This window comes from Homo sapiens, chromosome 14 (genome assembly GCF_000001405.40).
Source record: "Homo sapiens chromosome 14, GRCh38.p14 Primary Assembly".
NCBI classification, from domain to species: domain Eukaryota; kingdom Metazoa; phylum Chordata; class Mammalia; order Primates; family Hominidae; genus Homo; species Homo sapiens.
This window is the reverse complement of record NC_000014.9, coordinates 39,270,243-39,291,882: the sequence shown is the minus strand read 5'-3', so window position 1 is coordinate 39,291,882 and position 21,640 is coordinate 39,270,243. Positions and strand designations below refer to the sequence as shown.

At 41.4% G+C, this 21,640-nt stretch overlaps 1 protein-coding gene across 62 annotated transcripts in view; it reads right to left on the bottom strand.

Moving 5' to 3' along the window:
- MIA2 (MIA SH3 domain ER export factor 2) overlaps nt 1-21,640 on the bottom strand; it is a 154,608-nt gene that overhangs the window by 96,640 nt on the left and 36,328 nt on the right. For 25 of the 62 annotated variants that reach the window (NR_148721.1, NR_148722.2, XM_024449593.2 and 22 more), the window contains 4 exons: nt 14,818-14,949; nt 12,525-12,546; nt 12,346-12,434; nt 787-864 (listed from right to left, as the gene is read on the bottom strand). Coding sequence is in view for 59 of the 62 variants with exons in the window: in XM_024449593.2 (XP_024305361.1) it covers nt 787-864; nt 12,346-12,434; nt 12,525-12,546; nt 14,818-14,949 (321 nt within the window). In the remaining 3 variants the exon portion in view is untranslated. Of the gene's footprint in view, nt 1-771; nt 865-12,345; nt 12,435-12,524; nt 12,547-14,817; nt 14,950-21,640 lie in introns of all 62 variants that reach the window. The other 37 variants (XM_024449592.2, XM_024449595.2, XM_024449594.2 and 34 more) reach the window with 6 other exon arrangements.

Below are 21,640 nucleotides of genomic sequence, written 5' to 3'. Positions count from 1 at the left end.
TCTGTGCTTTTTACAACACGTCCACATCTAAACAGTAGTAAGGCACTCCCATCACTTACCCTAATCTGTCTTAGTTTAGCTAAATTACAAATTACCATACTTTCCTTCCTTAAAATTAACCAAATCACACTTGGCTCAGGAAAGCCTACTTTAAGCATTATCTTCCAAGACTCCTCATTCAGTGACATCATGTTGGTAGCTTGAAACTGGCCATGGTGGAAGTATTCATACTACAGAACTCAGCAAATGCTACAAATAAGGCTGCTTTTTAAAAAAAAAGTTGTCAAACATTTACCAACATACACCATTACTTATAACGTAAACCTCTGGCCTAATTCTAGTTAGCTCTTAATATCCTCAGGATGAAAATAAAGCAAATACTGTCATAATTTACAAAGTTATTGTTGCCAACTATTCCTAAGTTTGTAAAAATGAATCTTATTTCTCCTTTCTAGAGCAAACTGAGTCAAAAAAGGAACGATCACCTTAATACATTTCCCAGGAATAATAGAACGAAGTTTCTATACAGCTCCTGATTCCTTGAACATAAACATGCCTGACTCAAAACAAGTTAGCAATAAAAGCTCAAATTTTTAAATTTTTATAATATTTTATGCTACCTCCTATTGTCCCATTTCCTATATTAATTTTCTTATTTAAGTTTTAACATCCAGAGATGCTCTTTCACATTTTTTTCAAATAGTTTTCAGAAGATACATTTTTAAAGTTTTTGTTACTTAGTATTTTTTTCCCCAGCTTTTAAAATTATACCATTTGATTTTCTACCTCCAAACTTTGTGCTTCTGTTGCCTCCTTCTCAAAGCTGGCATCCTTTAAAGATGACTCTACTTCATAGCCTTCATACTGAAACAAAGCAACATCACAAGTAAAAACTCTACCAATTGTATTCTAAATCTTATCTGGATAGATGCCTAAGAAGCAGACAGAATCCATTTCCACATAATACATTAAATTTACTTGGATTTACTTAGCTTTAAGTTTTTTAAATCTGACCACTACAACAAACAATGCCAGAGCAGCTAACACATCACAAACCACTAGCTCTGGCAACAAATGCCAGAACTTCACCTCTAAGAGTAAAGTCTGCTTCTCAGAGAACATAGGACTATAACTCATATTAGCATCTTTTACTAAAAATGAAGTAAAAATTCTAATGGTAAGATTGTACTAAAGATTATCCAAAGATTTACTCAAAGAGCGTATTTTTACGTAAGCTGTCTAATTATGCCCCAAACAAGTAAACCTCTTCTTTAAGCCTATTCATTAAAGAGAAATATATAGCAACTGACCATCAAAACTTTTCACTTTTAATCCATACCATACAACAAATAAAGCAGGTGGGGAATATAAAAATCTTTAAAAGGTAGGGAACAACCATCAAAAAATGAACAATAAAACATATAATGCTATAAGATTTGGCAAAATGCACTTCAATTATTCAAAAAAAGTGATCAAATTGAAGACTACGTTGTTCTGGATCCACCTTTCTGGCAAGAACAAGAAAAGCTTGACAAAAAATACCAAAAAAAAAAATATATATCTGTCTGAAAGCCTCAGAGAGCTATCAAAACAGTGAGAATTTGTGAGAGAAGTGGGAATCCCCAGAAAGGCAAGTCTAGTATTTGACATTTCTATTCCCCCTAGAAGAAGAGGCTGATGGGCTAAGAAACTAAGCAGAGATTTCAGGAGAATCAGAAGCTGAGAAAAAACACTTGGAGTTCAGGACCTGCCAAGTCAGATGAACCCTGTGCTTGGCTAAACAATGACCTGTCCAAAGATGTCTATGTTCTGCTCCCCAGAATGTCCAGGTGTGATAAAGGATCTTAAGACGGAAAAAGCATCCAGAATTATTTTGGTGGGCCCAATATAATGCCAAGGGTCCTTAAAAGGAGGAGGCAAGACGACCAAACTTAGAAAAGAATGATATAAGATAGAAGCAGAAACTGGGGTGACATAGTTATGAGCCAAGAAATGTTGGTAGACTCCATATAAGACACAAGACACAGATTCTCTCCTAGAACATGCATAAGGAAACAAACTTGCTGCTATCTTAACTTTTGCCCCCAAGATTGGTTTTAAGGCTGGGCATGGTAGCTCATGTCTGTAATCCCAGCATTTTGGGAGGCCAACGTGGGAGGATCACTTGAGGCCAAGAGTTCAAGGCCAGCCTGGGCAACATAGTGAGATCCCATCTCTACAACAAAATATTTTTTAAAAGATCAGTTCTAGACTTCTGACCTTCAAAATTTTAAGAGAATAAATGTGTGTTGTTTTACACCACTAGGTTGCACTAATTTGTTACAGCAGCAAAAGGAAATTAATGTCCTTACCAACCAAAACTGGTACCTTGGATGGGCGCAGTGGCTCACACCTGTAATCCTAGCACTTTAGGAGGCCAGATCACAGGGATCATGAGGTCAGGAGTTCAAGAACAGCCTAGCCAACATGGTGAAACTCTGTCTCTACTAAAAATACAAAAATTAGCCGAGCGTGGTGACGTGTACTCGTAATCCCAGCTATTCGAGAGGCTGAGGCACAAGAATCACTTGAGCCCATGAGGCGGAAGTTGCAGTGAGTCGAGATCATGCACTCCAGCCTGAGTGACATAGCAAGACTGTCTCAAAAAAAAAAAAAGAAAACCTGCCTACCTTACAACAAAGTCGAAACCAAAAACAGACTAATCCTCTGAACTGAGGCCCAGCTTCCAAATATCTCAATCTGTTATTAAAGTAATCTGACCTCCCAACAAAGAAAAGCCCAGGAAGAGATGGCTTCACGGCTGAATTTTACCAAATTTTCAAAGTAGAATTATTACCAAGACTTCTTAAACTCTTCCAAGAAAAACAACAGGAGGGAATATTTCCTAACACATTTTATGAGTCCAGCATCACCTTGATACCTAAGCCAGACCAAGAAACCACAAAAAATAAATAAATAAACAAACAAACAAACCTACAGGTCAATATCTCTGATGAACACTGATGCAAAAATCCTAAATAAAATATCAGCAAATTGAAATTAACAATGCATCAAAAAGATTATGCATTGGGATCAAGTGGTATTTATCCCTGGCATGCAAAGCCGGTTTAATATATGCAAATTGGCCGGCACAGTGGCTCACGCATGTAATCCCAGCACTTTGGGAGGCCGAGGCGGACAGATCACAGGGTCAGGAGTTCCAGACCATCCTAGCCAACATGGTGAAACCCTGACTCTACTAAAAATACAAAAATTAGCCAGGCACCTGTAGTCCTAGATACTCAGGTGGCTGAGGCAGGAGAATCGCTTGAACCCGGGAGGCGGAGGTTGCAGTGTGCTGAGATCACACCATTCCACTCCAGCCCGGGTGACAGCGCCAGACTCCGTCTCAAAAAAAAAAAAAAAAATATATATATATATATATATATATATATATATATATATATATATGTATAATATATACACGCTCAAATCAATTAATGTGATACATCACATTCACAGACTGAAAGACAAAAACCACATGATCATACCAATTGACACAGAAAAAACATTCAACAAAGTTGAACATCCATTTTTTTTTTCTTTTGAGAGATAGGTTCTCCTATGTTGCCCAGGTTGGACTTGAATTCCTGGGCTCAAGCCATCCTCCCACCTCATGCTCCCAAGTAGGTGGGACTATAGGCACACACCCTCACGTCCAGCCCAACATCATCTCTTGATAAAAACCCTTAACAGTTTAAGTATAGAAGTAAAGTTCTGGCCAGGTGTGGTGGCTCACGCCTGTAATCCCAACACTTTGGGAAGTCCGAGGAGTTCGAGACCAGCCTGTGCAACATGGCAAAACCACATCTCTACCAAAGATAGACAAATTAGCCAGGCTTGGTGGCACACACCTGTAGTCCCAGCTACTCTAGGGAGGCTAAGGTGGGAGAATCACATGACCCCAGGAGGTTGAGGCTGCAGTGAGCCATGAGCATGCCACTGCACTCCATCCTGGGCAACAAAGCGAGACCTTGTCTCAAAAAACTAAATAGTGGCTCATGCCTGTAATCCCAGCACTTTGGGAGGCCGAGGCGGGCAGATCATGAGGTCAGGAGATCAAGACCATCCTGGCCAACATGGTGAAACCCCGTCTCTACCAAAATACAAAAAATTAGCCAGCCATGGTGGCGCATGACTGTAGTCCCAGCTACTCAGGAGGCTGACGCAGGAGAATTGCTTGAACCCAGGAGGCAGAGTTGCAGTGAGCCGAGATCACGCCACTGCATTCCAGCCTAGTGAAAGAGCAAGACTTCATCTCAAAAAAATAAATAAATAATAAATAATAAAATTTTTAAAATAATGAAAAAAAATAAAAAGAAAGTTCCTCAACATAACAAAAGCCATTTATGAAAAACTTACAGCAAATATCATCATCAGTGGGGAGAAACTGAAACCTTTTCCATTAAGATCTGGTACAAAGCAAGGATGCCCACAACCACCACTTCTATTCAAAACAGTACTGGAAGGGCTGGGTGCGGTGGCTCACACCTGTAATCCCAGCACTTTGGGAGGCTGAGATAAGCGGATCACTTGAGCCCAAGTTCGAGACCAGCTTGGGCAACTTGGCCAAACACCATCTCTACAAAAAAAATACAAAAAATTAACTGGGCGTGGTGGTGCACGCCTGTAGTCCCAGCTACTTGGGAGGCTAAGGTGGGAGAAACACCTGAACCCGGGAGGCTGAGGCTGCAGTGAGCCATGACCATGCCACTGCACTCCAGCCTGGGCAACAGAGTGAGACCTTGTCTCAAAAAACAAAAACAAAATAGTACTGGAAGTACTATCAAAGCAATTAGACAAGAAAAAGAAATAAAAGGCCTGGCATGGTAGCTCACGCCTGTAATGCCAGCACTTTGGGAGGCCAAGGTGGGCAGATCACTTGAGGTCAGAAGTTCGAGACCAGCCTGTCCAACATGGTGAAACCCTGTCTCTACCAAAAAATACACACACACACACACACACACACACACACACAGAAAAATAGCCAGGCACAGTAGTGCACATCTGTAATCCCAGCAATTTGGGAGGCTGAGGTGGGAGAATCACTTGAACCCGGGAGGCAGAGGTTGCAGTGAGCTGAGATTGCACTGCTGCAATCCAGCCTGGGCAACAGAGTGAGAGCCTGTCTCAAAAAAAAAAAAAAAGTAAGAAGGAAGGAAGAGAAGGATAAGGAAAGAAAAGATATCCAAATCAGAGAAGTAAAATTATCTGTTCGCAGATGACATGATCCTATATGTAGAAAACCCAAAAGATGTCATCAAAAATACAGATATAATAACTGAATTCAGTAAAGATGCAGGATATAATATCAAAACAAAACTATGTCATTTCTATACACAAATAACGACCTAGCCAAAAACGAAATCTAGAAAACAATCTCCCTCTCCCTCTCCCCTCTCCCCTCTCCACAGTCTCCCTCTGATGCCGAGCCAAAGCTGGACTGTACTGCTGCCATCTCCGCTCACTGCAACCTCCCTGCCTGATTCTCCTGCCTCAGCCTGCCGAGTGCCTGCAATTGCAGGCGCGCGCCACCACACCTGACTGGTTTTCATATTTTTCTGGTGGAGACGGGGTTTCACTGTGTTGGCCGGGCTGGTCTCCAGCTCCTAACCAAGAGTGATCTGCCAGCCTCGGCCTCCCGAGGTGCCGGGATTGCAGATGGAGTCTCGTTCACTCAGTGCTCAACGTTGCCCAGGCTGGAGTGCAGTGGTGTGATCTCGGCTAGCTACAACCTCCACCTCCCAGCCACCTGCCTTGGCCTCCCAAAGTGCTGAGATTGCAGCCTCTGCCCAGCCGCCACCCCGTCTGGGAAGTGAAGAGCGTCTCTGCCTGGCCGCCCATCGTCTAGGATGTGAGGAGCCCCTCTGCCCGGCTGCCCAGTCTGGGAAGTGAGGAGCGCCTCTTCCCGGCCGCCATCCCGTCTAGGAAGTGAGGAGCATCTCTGCCCGGCCGCCCATCGTCTGAGATGTGGGGAGCACCTCTGCCCGGCCGCGACCCCGTCTGGGAGGTGAGGAGCGTCTCTGCCCGGCCGCCCCATCTGAGAAGTGAGGAGCCCCTCCGCCCGGCAGCCGCCCCGTCTGAGAAGTGAGGAGCCCCTCCGCCCGGCAGCTGCCCCGTCTGGGAAGTGAGGAGCGTCTCCGCCCGGCAGCCACCCCGACCGGGAGGGAGGTGGGGGGTCAGCCCCAGCCCGGCCAGCCACCCCATCCGGGAGGGAGGTGGGGGGCAGCCCCCGCCCGGCCAGCCGCCCCGTCCGGGAGGGAGGTCGGGGGGTCAGCCCCCGCCCGGCCAGCCATCCCGTCCGGGAGGGAGGTGGGGGGTCAGCCCCCGCCCGGCCAGCCGCCCCGTCCGGGAGGGAGGTGGGGGGTCAGCCCCCGCCCGGCCAGCCGCCCCGTCCGGGAGGAAGGTGGGGGGGTCAGCCCCCGCCCGGCCAGCCGCCCCTTCCGGGAGGGAGGTGGGGGGCAGCCCCCGCCCGGCCGCCGCCCCGTCCGGGAGGTGGGGGGGCGCCTCTGCCCGGCTGCCCCTTCTGGGAAGTGAGGAGCCCTTCTGCCCAGCCACCACCCCGTCTGGGAGGTGTACCCAACAGCTCATTGAGAACGGGCCAGGATGACGATGGCGGTTTTGTGGAATAGAAAAGGGGGAAAGGTGGGGAAAAGATAGAGAAATCAGATTGTTGCTGTGTATGTGTAGAAAGAAGTAGACATGGGAGACTTCATTTTGTTCTGTACTAAGAAAAATTCTTCTGCCTTGGGATGCTGTTGATCTATGACCTTACCCCCAACCCTGTGCTCTCTGAAACATGTGCTGTGTCCACTCAGGGTTAACAATGGATTAAGGGCGGTGCAAGATGTGCTTTGCTAAACAGATGCTTGAAGGCAGCATGCTCGTTAAGAGTCATCACCACTCCCTAATCTCAAGTACCCAGGGACACAAACACTGCGGAAGACCGCAGGGTCCTCTGCCTAGGAAAACCAGAGACCTTTGTTCACTTGTTTATCTGCTGACCTTCCCTCCACTATTGTCCTATGACCCTGCCAAATCCCCCTCTGCGAGAAACACCCAAGAATGATCAATAAAAAAAAAATAAAAAAAAGAAAAAAAAAGAAAACAATCCTATTTACATAGCATCAAAAAAAATAAAATACCTAGGAACAAATTCAACCAAGGAGGTGAAAGATCTGCACACTGAAAAGTATAAAACATTGATGAAAGAAATTGAGGAGCACACAAAGAAATGGAAACGCAGCCAAAATCTCAATGGCATTCTTCACAGAAATTTTTTTAATCTAAATTTAATATGGAATAGCAAAAGATCCCAAATAGTCAAAGCAATTCTGAGAAAAATAGAGTTGGCAGCATCAGACTAACTCATTTTAAATTATATTCCAAAGCTGTAGTCACGAAAACAACGTGGTACTAGTATAAAAACAAATACACAGACCAGTGGAACAGAATAGAGAGCCCAGAAATAAATCCAAATAAATATGGTCAAATTTTCAATAGGGCACCAAGAATATACAATGCAGAAAGAATAGTCTCATCAATAAATGGTAGTGAGAAAACTGGATTTCACACGCAAAAGAATGAAACTGAACTCTTAACTTTATACAACACATAGAAATCAACTCAAAGTGGATAAAAGACCTAAACATAAAACCTGAAACTACAAAACTCCTAGAAGAAAACACAGGGAAAAAGCTCCCTGACACTGGCCTTGGCAATAATTTATTGACTATCACATCAACAACTTAGGCTACAAAAGCAAAAAGTAAGTGAACAGGACTACATCAAACTAAAAAGCTTTTGCAAAGCAAAAGAAACAATAAAATGAAAGTTCCTTTGAGGTGAAGCTGCAAGGTAAAAAAAATAAAAATATACACAAGTAAACACAATAAAAAGGCAACCTACAGATTGAGAAAAAATATATCAGATAAGGGGTTAATATTCAATATTTTAAAAGACCTCATACAACTCAACAGCAAGCAAACATACAACCTGATTTAAAAACAGGCAAAGGACTTAAATAGATATTTCTCTGAAGATGACATAAAAATGGCCAACAGGTATATGAAATGGTGTTCAATATCACCAATCATCAAGGATATGCAAATCAAAAACACAATGAGATACTACCTTGTATCTGTTAGAATAGCTATTATCAAAAAGACAAGAGAGATGACAAGTATTTGTGAAGGTGTGGAGAAAAGGGAACCCTCTACAACAAACCCCCAGGACGCAAGTTTACCTATGTAACAAATGTGCACTTGTACCCCTGAACTTAAAAGTTACAAAAAAAAGGGAACCCTTTTTCTAGACAAGAAAAGAGAAAGGCATAGAGCAGGTCCTTTGTCCTTTGAATAACATTGTTTTCTTCAACATTGTTTCATTATAACATTGATGAGAAAAAAAAACTGAATTCAGTATACACTGTTTCACTTAAAGTCAATTTTCAACCATCTATCAAGGACATTGAGGGCTTACTGTACACTACTGGCAGGGATGTAGATGGGTACAGTCACTACAGAAAGTAGTATGGAGACTCCTAAAGAAATTTAAAATAGAGCTACTATATCCAGCAAACCTTCTTCCAGATATTTATCCGAAAAAAATGAAATTGGCACCTTCTACACACAGCTGCATGCCCATGTTCACTGCAGCATTATTCACAGTAGCCAGTATGGAGACAACCTAGGTATCTATCAATGAACAAACGAATAAAGAAACTGTGGTATATATTTACAATGGAATATTACTCAGCCATAAAAAGGTGGAGATCCTGCCATTTGCTACAACATGGACGGACCTAGAAGACATTTTGCTAAGTAAAATAAGCCAGATATAGAAAGAAAAATATTGCATGATCTCACTTATATGCGGAATTTTTGTAAAGGTCAAATATATAGAGATAGAGAACAAAACAGTGGTTAGCAGTGTTGGGTAGGAGGGAAGAAACATGTAGGTCAGAAAATATGGCCGGGTATGGTGGCTCATGCCTGTAATCCCAACAATTTGGGAGGCTGAGGCGAGAGGATCACCTGAGCCAGGGAGTTTGAGACCATCCTTGGCAACATAGGGAGACCCCATCTCTACAAAAAATTTAAAAATCAGGCAAGCATGTATCATGTGCCTGTAGCCGCAGTTACTCAGGAGTCTGAGGTGGGAGGATTACTTGAGCCCAGGAGATAGAGGCTGCAATGAGCCAAGATCATGCCACTGCACCCCAGCCTGTGTGACAGAATGAGACCCTGTCTCAATAAAAGAAAAGAAAATATATGGGATGAACAAGTTAAAAGATCTCATGTACAACATGAGATCCATAGTTAATAATAGTGTACTGCATTCATGATTTTTGTTATATGAGTACATTATAGCTGCCCTGGAGGGGTGGGCAGGGAATGGGTAACTATGAGAGAGAAAGAATACGTTAATTTGTTTCACTATAGTAACCATTTACTATACACGTATCTCATCATGTTTATACCTTAAATATATACAATAAAACTTATTTTACAAAAAACAAAATCAAAGTTATCTGAAATTTCTATACCTTAAATATACACAATAAAACTTATTTTACATAAAAGAAAGTCAAATACATAAAGTTATCTGAAATTTCCAATGTCCCTAGCCTAGCTGCCTATGAAAAGCAACAGTAAATCCTCACTGAAGAGAGACGACAGCACCCACAGCTTCAAAATTATCTTTACAATTTTTATTATATTATCACTGACACTTCATATAAAATAACCTGGCATTCAAGCGGACAAGACTTGACTGAGAAACAAGAGAAAAAATGAGCACCAGAAATAGACTACTGGATAATGCAGTAGTCATTAAAATAAGAAAGCATATTTGTCGGCAGCATATATTCTGAAAATCAGAAAATAAAAATAACACATAAATAAATAAAATAAGAGAGCATAGGCCAGGCATGGTGGCTCACACCTGTAATCCTAGCACTTTGGGAGGCCAAGGCAGGTGGATTGCCTGAGCTCAGGAGTTTGAGACCAGCCTGAGCAACACAGTGAAACCCATCCCTACTAAAATACAAAAAATTAGCCAGGCGTGGCAGCGTGTGCCTGTAGTCCCAGCTACTTGGGAGGCTGAGGCAGGAGAATCACTTGAACCTGGGAGGCAGAGGTTGCAGTGAGCCGAGGTCGCGCTACTGCACTCCACTCCAGCCTGGGCAACAGGGGAAACTCCGTCTCCAAAAAAAAAAAAAAACCAAAACAAAACAAAACAAAAATAAGAGAGCATAATGTGTAAATGGAATTAAAAAATAGAATTGTACCAGAGAAAAAGAACTACAAAAAGAGCCACAATAAAACTGCAGAACTGAAAAAGGCAAGAGATGAAATTAAGATCTCAATGGATGGTTTAAAAGATGATTATAGGCATAAGTGAAAACTATTGGCAACATGGAAGTTAAAGAAGATTATGTCTAGACTGAAGTGTGGGCAAACAAAAAGATGGAAACCCTGGAAAAGAACGTAAGAGACAGATGAGATATAATAAAAAGTTAAAATACCCATTTTTATAGTCCCAGAAAGAAAGAACAAAAAAGGGCAAAAACAATATGTGGAAAAGTAACAATCAAGAGTGTTTCAAAACTAATAAAAGGTAGAGCACGGTGGCTCACAGCTGTAATCCTAGCACTTTGGGAAGCCAAGACGGGAGGATTGCTTGAACCCAGGAGTTCGAGACCAGCCTGGACAACATGGCAAAACCCCATCTCTACAAGAAATTTTAAAAAATTAGCTGGACATGGTGGCGCATGCCTGTAATCCCAGCTACTCAGGAGGCTGAGGTGGGAGGATCACCTGAGTCCAGGAAGTGGAGATTGAAGTGAGCCAAGATCACACCACTGTACTGCAGCCTAGACAAGAGAGAGAGAGAGACGCTGTCTCAAAAAAAAAAAAAAAAAAAAAAAAACTAAACTAATAAAAGACATTAAGCCACAGATTCTAGAAGCATCATAAACCCCAATAAGGACAAATAGAAAAAAACCACACCTAGACAAATCATAGTAACACTGCTGAGAGCCAAAACCAAGAAAAAATGATAAAAACAGCCAGTAGGGTTTTTTTGTTTGTTTGTTTGTTTGTTTGTTTTGAGAAGGAGTCTCACTCTGTTGCCCAGGCTGGAGTGCAGTGGCACAATCTCGGCTCACTGCAAGCTCCGTCTCCTGGTTCACGCCATTCTCCTGCCTCAGCCTCCCGAGTAGCTGGGACTACAGGTACCCACCACCACACTTGGCTAATTTTTTTGTATTTTTAGTAGGGACGGGGTTTCACCATGTTAGCCAGGATAGTCTCGATCTCCTGACCTCGTGATTTGCCCGCCTCAGCCTCCCAAAGTGCTGGGATTACAAGCATGAGCCACCGTGCCCAGCCGGTTTCTTATCTTACACAGTTAAACTATACCTGCCCTAATGCCCTAATGACTTACCAATTCCACTACTACTTATGAAGAGAAATGAAAATACATGCCCACAAAAAAAAAACTTGTAGAAGAATGTTCACAGTAACTTTATTCACAATAGCCAAGAACTGTAAATTAACCATACCAGATACTAAGGCTTGTTATAAAACTACAGGCTATAAAAAGCATGTTATTGGCAAAAAACAAACAAAAAGCCCAACAAAATAGAAGATTTAACAGAAACAGACTCACATATATTCAGTGACTTAAGAAGATGACACTACAGAACAACAGAGAAAAGATGGTCCTTCCAATAAATGGCATTAACTCGACACGCCCAGGAAAAAAAATGAATCTTCACACACACACACACACACCCTCAACTGCACCATCACAGATCTGATTTCAAATGGATCAAAGACTATTATGGACTGAATTGTGTCCCCACAAATTCACATGTTGAAGCTCCAACCCCAGTACCTCAGAATGTGACTGTATTTGGAGACAAGGCCTTTGGAGGTGGTCAAAATAAAATAAGGTTGTTAGGGTGGGCCCTAATCCAATCTGACTGGTGTCTTTACGAAAAGAGAACATTTGGATACACGAACAGATACCAGAAATGTGCACATGCAGAGGATGTGTTTGTGTGCTCGACCTCATCAGTCAGGAAAACTCAAAAGGAAAGCACAAGGAGACACCATTGTACACCTACTACAATGGTTAAAATTAGTAAGACTGGTTAAGTGTTGAATATGAAGAGCAAAGAGAACTCTCATACTCTGCAAACAAAGCATTCATAATCTTAAATTTACACAGAAGTACCTACAGTGAGAAGTATAAAGTTCTCTGACTCTAACATGAATATTATTTTCAAAAATATCTTACCTCTTTTTGAACAAGGCTAAATTTTTCAAGTAGTTTACTTTTTTCTTCAATTAGTCCAGAAAGCATTAGAGCAAGCTTTTTCTCTCGTCCTAAAAAAGTCAAGTCAATATTACCATGAGTAAATTATTATAAGTTTTTACAACACAACAATGAGAGTCAAAGCAGAAAAAAGAACTTACCCACATAAAGCCGACTCCTAACCTGAAACAAATTTTTAACAAAAATTACATTAAAACAAATACGCTCTCAAGTAAATCAATTCATTTAACGTCTACTGCCAACTTAGAAATACAGGTTTCTTATTGCCTTTGTATAAATACAAGCCAAAAGTATTCTGTTTCCAATGAGAAAATAAATGCTTTTTTTTTTTTTTTTTTGAGACAGAGTCTTGCTCTGTCTCCCAGGCTGGAGTGCAATGACGCGATCTCAGCTCACTGCAACCTCCACCTCCTGGGTTCAAGCAATTCCTCTGCCTCAGCCTCCTGAGTAGCTGGGATTACAGGTGCCCACCACCATGCCTAGCCAATTTTCATATTTTTAGTAGAGACCGGGTTTCACCATGTTGGCCAGGCTGGTCTGGAACTCCTGACCTCAGGTGATCCACCTGCCTGGGTCCCCCAAAGTGCTGGGATTACAGGCATGAACCACCATGCCCAGCCTAAATACTACTTATTAAAGACTCCCTATTGAAGATTCACATTGTGAATTAGCATATTAAAGACTCTGAAATAACTTTACTCTAAAGATACTTGTTTAATTTCATTTAACCCATTGCTCCCCAAACAAATTTGACCCTAAAAAAATAATTTCAAGAAGCCCCTATTATCATATCCCTTGATGCCAATATCCAAAATAAAACAGCCTGAGAAATGTTACCATAGGGCCATAGATCTGAACTGACTAAAGAAACAGTAAACCAAACCTTTTTCTTCCTTAACCTCTCTCTCAAATAATGAAGCAGGCGGGAATTCATTTGTAAAAGGATCAGCCTTAGGGCTGAGGTAACACAAACAAGTAGAAAAGAAATGAGGACTTCAATCATCTACAGAATATGGATAGAGATAAAAGGGAAAACCTTTAAAAGACAAGATACTCTACAATGAGTGTAGATGAAGAATAGATTTCAGTTCCTCAGATTAAGGAACTCTCAAAAGGTATAGAAAACCATAAAGAAATTGAAAAATAGAAGTTAAGAGATAGGGAAGTCAGAAGTAAAAGGGGCAACATCTGAAAAATAGCAGTCCCAAAAATGCATTAAAAATTTCCCAAAATTAGGCCAGGCGTGGTGATTAATGCCTATAATCCCAGAACTTTGGGAGACCAAGGCAGGCAGATCACTTGAGGCCAGGAGTTCTGAGCAACACAGTGAAACCCGTCTCTACAAAAAAATACAAAAATTAGCCAGGCATGGTAGTGCACGCCTGTAGTCCCAGCTACTCAGGAGGCTGAGGCAGGAGAATTGCTTCAGCACAGGAAGCAGAGATTGCAGTGAGCCGAGATCATGCCACTGCGCTCCAGCCCGGGTGACAGGAGTGAAATCCTGTCTCAAATAAAATTTCCCAGAATTAAAAAAAAGATGAAGCTGGGCAGAGTGACATGGACCTGTGTAGTCCCAACTACTCAAAAGGCTGAGAAAGGATTGCTTAAGCCCAGGAGTTTGAGGCTGTAGGCTGTAGGCGCACTATAATTGCATCTGTGAATAGCAACTGCACTACAACCTAGGCAACATAGTGAGACCCCATCTCTTTAAATATAAATATATATATATATATATATATATATATATATACACACATATATATATATATATATATATACACACATATATATATATATATATATATACACACATATATATATATATAAAAGATCTTACATTAAAAGATTCCAGTTGAGCATGGTGGCTCAAACCTGTAATCCCAAGACTTTGGGAGGCCGAGGCAGGAGGATCACTTGAGCCCAGGAGTTTGAGACCAGCCTGAGCAACACAAGACCCTCATCTCTTTATTTTTGAGACAGGGTCTCTCTCTGTCACCCAGGCTGGAGTACAGTGTCACAACCATGGCTCACTGCAGCATCGACTTCCCAGGATCAGGCAATCCTCCCACCTCAGCCTCCTGAGTAGCCAGGACCACAGACGGGTGTCCTCATGTCCAGCTAATTTTTGTATTTTTTGTAGTGATGGGGTCTCACCGTGTTGCCCAGGCTGGTCACAAACCCCTAAGCTCAAGTGATCTTTCTGCCTTGGCCTCCCAAAGTGCTGGGATTAGAGGTGGGAGCCACAGCACTGGGCCTGACTCTCATTCCTGACCCTCATCTCTTTTAAAAAAAACAAAAAACAAAAAACAAAAACCTCTGAATCCCTATGTAGTTTCTAACTTGTTTACTTAAAATAACAAATATGTTTCTCATATTATTTGTTCAGCCCAGTGACAAAATGAACATTCTCTTAGTATAGCACTGGTTACTTACCGATCTAAAACTTCTCCACAAAAAAAAGAGAACAGCAAAAAATCCAACAACAGCTGCACATATCACCAATTCCCATGGAAAACCATAAAGATTAGAATCTGGTCTCATACCTTCAGGCAGTGCTGCCACAACCTTCAAGATAAAGAAAAGTAAGTTCTTAAAAATGTACTTTTGGTAAAAATATTGATTACAAACATAGGTACAAGTTTATGTGGTCAACACAAAATGGGCTGCCAGACTAACACCAAACAGAAAGTATCAGAGTACATTTTTTTGTCAACTTTCAATCACTATCGCCAAGTAAAGAACAGCAGTATGGTGAAATGCAATTATCTTCAAACTGGAGTTCTACAGAGGTGACTTAAAGTTTCCAAGGATGAGAATAAGAGAAGGCCAAAGAAAGAAACTGAGTGACCTAGGGTTCAGGTACTCTTACCCTGATTTCAACCAGTTCAGGTTTTATCTGTAAAGTATAATCAGTTCCCCAATATACAATTTCCCTACAGGAAGAAAAAATCAATTTGCAGCTTTAAAAATAAAAAGTTTGATTCAAAGCCAGCCTGGGCAACAAAGTAAGACCTGTCTCAAAAAATAAAAACAAGTTTTGAACACCACTGATAGAGATTTGGGTTTGGAGTTTGAATCTCCCCACCCTACCTCTGTGCGTCCCTTCTCTTAAGTGTAATGAGAATAATGCTGTTTGAACATGCCAGACAGGTGCTCAAAAAAGGGTAATTATTTATATTATCTCCTCCAAAGACCCTGATCTTCTGACCATGGCCTTTCCACATTACTTCTCCCCACAGCAGACCTTCAGCACAACACAGCCTAAGGCTTTTGCTGTTGCTTCTATATTTCACCTTTCTCTGGGTCAGCTCATTACTCATCCTTACCTAATGGGGTTATTCTGCTCTTTGTTACCAGGCCCAAGATATTACTTGATCAAAAAGAAAAGGGGAAAGGTAAGGGGAAAAAAGAAAAATGCCATTTTAAGAACAATCTGAAGTATGATGGGGTTTGATTCTTTTCAGGCTTTAACCCAAAACCTCTACAGCAAATCTTCCTTTTAGGCCCTTTCTGCCTATAAGAACAGTGTTTAATAGTTATTTTCCTCTCCAAAATCTTTTATAACTCTAATCCAAATATGTACTCCTTCCAAGGTACTATCTATACTTCATAACCTGTACCAAACAAACCTGATTATACTTCTAAAAAATATCCCTTTACCCTGATCTCTGCTTCTGCCTCTCCCTACATTACCCTAGGTACCAGTTCGCAGAAATCTAATATCATTACAAGCAATTAATGATAAAAAAAAATTATTTTTGCTATTGGGGGAAAAAAGGCATTCAATACACAATACCAGGAAGAAAAGTTTTCTTCACAGTTTACACATTTTCCAAGCATCTTACTTTTAGCTAATGTATTCAACACATAAGACGCACACTAACTCAAAAATTGTGTAATCAATATGACCTATGACACTCTACTTTAAAAGGCAATTCCAAAAGCATCTCTCAGATCAAACACGTAATTACCTTTAGTACAATAATATTTCTTAGATTCAATCACATTTTATCAGCTCTTCTCTTCTAAAAGGACATGGTAAATTCTAGTTTAAAGCATTGAGCTAGGGCCGGGCGCAGTGGCTCATGCCAGCACTTTGGGAAGCCAACGTAGGCGGATCACATGAGGCCAGGAGTTTGAGACCAGCCTGGCCAACGTGGCAAAACCCTGTCTCTACTAAAAATACAAAAATTAGCCAGGCATGGTGGCAGGCACCTGTAGTTCCAGCTACTAGAAAGGCTGAGGTGGGACAATCACTTGAACCTGGGAGGCAAAGGCTGCAGATCGCACCACTACACTCAAGCCTGGGTGACAAAACAAAACTGGACTCTGACACACACACACACACACACACACACAAAGGATTAAGGAAACATGGAAATTAAGGAATAATTTAAAAAAAAAAAAAATTTTTTTTTTTTTTTGAGACGGAGTCTCACTCTGTTGCCGAGGCTGGAGTACAGCGGCACCGTGTAGGCTTACTGCAACCTCCGTCTCCTGGGTTCAAGCAATTCTCCTGCCTCAGCCTCCCGAGTAGCTGGGATTACAGGTGCCCACCACCATGCCCGGCTAGTTTTTATATTTTTAGTAGAGACAGGGTTTCACCATGTTGGCCAGACTGGTCTCAAACTCCTGACCTCAGGTGATCCACCTGCCTTGGCCTCCCAAAGTGCTGGGATTACAAAAAAAAAAAACTTTAAAAAAATAAAATAAAATAAAGCCTTGAGCTGGTTAGATCTGGCAGACTGGAGAAAAGCAAAGAATCTGAGTCTTGGCCACGCACGGTGGCTCAGGCCTGTAATCCCAGCACTTTGGGAGGCCAAGGTGGGCAGATCACTTGAGGTCAGGAGTTTGAGACCAGTCTGGCCAACGTGGTGAAACCCCATCTCTACCAAAAATACAAAAATTAGCTGGGCATGGTGGCGTAAGCCTGTAATCCCAGCTACTTGGGAGGCTGAGATACAAGAATTGCCTGAACCCGGGAGGAGGCTACAGTGAGCCAAGAACACGCCACTGCACTCCAGCCTGGGTGACAGAGTGAGACTCCATCTCAAAAAAAAAAAAAAAGAAAAAAAGAAAAAAAGAAACTGAGTTCTAAAGGATTCATCTCAAATTCATTGCTCTGGTCTAAATTATTCTGGCTTTCTCAAGGAGATTTTTCACCCTTAAATTTTATCTACAACATAACACCCTATCTCACAAAAACATAGAAAGAACAACCAAATTTCTCAAATATCAACAAATATAATACAGAATTACATGTAATCTGATAAACTGAAATTTAAAGGGTGATGGGTAACCCCTCCAAGAGTAACCCTCCATAAAGTACGGTAGTGATTAATCACAGAACACTTAAAATCTATTCCATTTCCAAAACATGAGTACTAAAGGAGTTCAAGATCAAGTAGCTTTAAAAAAAATCAATTAATCAGGTTGACAAAATATACTAAGAATAAACTAAAATTGTTTTTCATCTAACTTCAAACATGATATATACTAATAACAAAAAGAATGTCAACATGCAGACCCTGTGAATACTTGACTATAACACAAAGTTCCATGAAGGTACACCTCTCCAAGATAAAACATTAACACCAATCACTCTCAAACTCTTCCCAAACATAGAGGAGGAAGAAATACTTCCTAACTTATTCTATGAGGCTGGTATTTACCCTAAAAGCCAGACAAATACATCACACAAGAAAAGAAAATCACACACCAATATATCTTATGACTCCAGATGCAAAAATCCTCAAAAAAATATTGACAAACCAAATCCAGCAACATATAAAAAGGATTATGTACCATGACCAAGTGGGATTTATCCCAGAAATGCAAGGTTGGTTTAACATACAATAATCTTATGAACCATATTAAGAAAATGAAGAGAAAAAAAAAACGCATGATCATCTCAATAGACACAGAAAAAGCATTTGACTATATCTAGCACCGTTTCATAGTCAAAACATTCAACAAAAATTAGCCAAGCATGATGGCACATGCCTGTGGTCCCAGCTACTCAGAAGGCCGAGGTGGGAGAATCACCTGTGCCCAGGAAGTCGAGACGGCAGTGAATCATGATCATGCCACTGCACTCCAGCCTGGGCAACAGAGTGAGGCCCTGTCCCAAACAAACAACAAAAAAAACAAAACACACTCAACAAAGTACGATTTGAGGGAATTTCCTCAACCTGACAAGAAACATCTATGCAAAACCTACAGTTAACATCATACTTAAAGATGAGGAAAAAAAAAAAAAAAAAGCTTTTCTCCTAAGATCAGGAACAATAATGTCCGCTCTATCAACATGTATTCAACATTGTAATGGAGGTTCTAGCCAGAGCAATTAGGAAAGAAAAATAAATAAAAGGCATCCAGACTGGAAAGGAAGAAGAAAAACTGTTTGAAGATGACATAATGCTATTCTATACACAGAGAAAATCCTAAAGAACCTATAGAAAAACTATCAGAGCTATTAAGTTCAGCAAAGTTGCAGAATACAAAATCAACATAGAAAAATCAGTTGAATTTCTATACAACAGCAATGAGCAACCTGAAAATGAAATAAAGAAAACATTTCCATCTATAATAGCATCAAAAAGAATAAGATTATTAGGAATACATTTAACAAAAGAAGTGCACACTGAAACTACAAAATATTGTGGAAAGCAACGAAGGAAGACTTAAATAAATGTAAAGCCAATCCACGTCCATGGGCTGGAAGACTTCTTTGTTTGAAACAGGGACTGAGTCTGTCACCCAGGCTGGAGTGCAGTGGTGCGATCTTGGCTCACTGCAGCCTTGCCCTCCCCAGGCTCAGATGATCCTCCCACCTCAGCCTCAAGCAGCAGGACTACAGGCACATGCCACCTTGCCCAACTAATTTTTGTATTTCTTTTAAAGACAGGATTTTGAGAGTGGCAGGAGGCAGCCAAATGCCCAGGCAGATAGGGGCGGGTCCCTAGTGAAACCCCAACTTCAAGCCAAAGACAGTTTAAAGCCTGAAAGCCAAGCCACAAGTTAAATCCTTGGACCAGATTGAGAACTTGCCTTCTTGTTTGGCCCACTTTCCTCTGATTGATCCCCATCTTTCACCTATTTTACATATACCTACCCTTTACTAATAAGTTTTCTTTTTCTTTTTTTTGGGATGGAGTCTCGCCCTGTCACCCAGGATGGAGTGCAATGGCGCAATCTCAGCTCACGGCAACCTCCGCCTCCCGGGTTCAAGCGATTCTCCTGCCTCAGCCTCCTGAGTAGCTGGGATTACAGACGCACACCACCATGCTCAGCTAATTTTTTGTATCTTTAGTAGAGAAGGGTTTCACCATGTTGGCCAGGCTGGTCTCAAACTCCTGACCTCGTGATCCACCCCCATCAGCCTCCCAAAGTGCTGGGATTACAGGCATGAGCCACCGCACCCGGCCTCCTAATTAGTTGTCTACATTGTCACGCCCACCTCTAAGTGGTGTCTTTGCTTTAACCTTTTTTGCATACTCACAAACCAATCAGCATGCACTCCCCATTCTGAGTCCACAAAAGGCCGCAGACCCAGCCACACAGGGGGACTTTCCTGCCTTCTGGTAGGGGAACCACCCCCTGCATTCCCTCTTTGCTGAGAGCTTTCCTTTCACTTAATAAATTCTATTCCACTCACTCTCTGGGGTCCGCATGCCTAATTCTTCTTGGTTGTGAGACAAGAACTTGGACCTAGCTGAGCTAAGGAGCAGAAAGACCACAACAGTTTCACCAAGTTGCCCGGGCTGGTCTTGAAGTCCTGGGCTCAAATGATCTGCTCACCTTGGTCTCCCAAAGTGCTGGGATTACAAGCATGAACCACTGCACCCAGCTTGGAAGACTTAATATTATTAAGAGAGCAATACTCCCTAAACTGATCAACAGACTCAATGCAACCCCTATTAAAATTCCAACTGCCTTTTTTGCAGAAATGGACAAACTGAATCCTAAATTCCTAAAACTGAATTCCTAAAATTTATATAGAAATGCAAGGGACTCCACATAGCCAAAACAATATTGATAAAGAAAAAGAACGTGGATAAACAAAAACAACGCTGGGGGACTCATACTTCCCTACTGTATCTTACTACAAAGAAACAATAATCAAGACATTGGGTAAAAAAATGTTTTAAAGATAATGTAGTAATGGCATAGGGACAGACACAGACCAATGAAATAGAAATCAGAGTCCAGAAATAAACCCTTAAATTTATGGTAAATTATTTTCAACAGTATTAAGACAAATCAATGAGAAAAAAACAGTTCTTTCAAACAAATCATACTAGAATAAGCCAATAAATATCCACATGCCAAGGAATGAATCTAGACCCATTCTTCATAACATATATGGAAACAAAATCACTCAAAGTGGATCGAAGAACTTCCCGTAAGAGCTAAAACTCTTAGAAGGAAGCATAACTGTAAATGTTTGTAACCTTGTCTTAAGCAACGGTTTCTTAGCTATGATACCAAAAGCACAAGCAACCAAAGGAAGAAAAGATAAATTAGACTTAATCAAAATTTAGAACGCTTACGCTTCAAAGGACACACCAAGAAGGTGAAAAGAAAATGCACAGAATGAGAGAAAATCTTTCTAAATCATTTATCTGGTAAGCATTTAGCACCCTAAATGTATAAAGAATGCTTATAACTCAACAATAAAAAGACCACCCATTTTTTAAATGAGCAAAAGGAAATCAATAGACATTTCCCCAAAGAAGATATAAACAATAAGCACATGCTCAACATCATTAGTTACTAGGAAAATACAAATCAAAACAACCACAAGGCCTGGTGTGGTGGCTCACATCTGTAACACCAGCACTCTGGAAGGCTGAGGCAGGAGGATCCCTTGAGGCCAGGAATTTAAGGCAGCAGTGGGCTATGATCACGCCACTACGCTCCAGCCTGGGCAACAAAGCAAGACCCCATCTCTTAAAAAACAAAACAAACAAACAACAACAACAACAAAAAACAGAGTAAAGCCGGGTGGGGGGACTCACACCTGTAATCCCTGCACTTTGGGAGGCCGAGGCGGGTGGATCACAAGGTCAGGAGATCGAGATCATCCTGGCCAACATGGTGAAACCTGTCTCTACTAAAAATACAAAAATCAGCCAGGTGTGGTGGTTAGTGCCTATAGTCCCAGCTACACAGGAGGCTGAGGCAGGAGAATCACTTGAACCTGGGAGGTGGAGGCTGCAGTGAGCCGAGATCATGCCACTGCACTCCAGCCTGG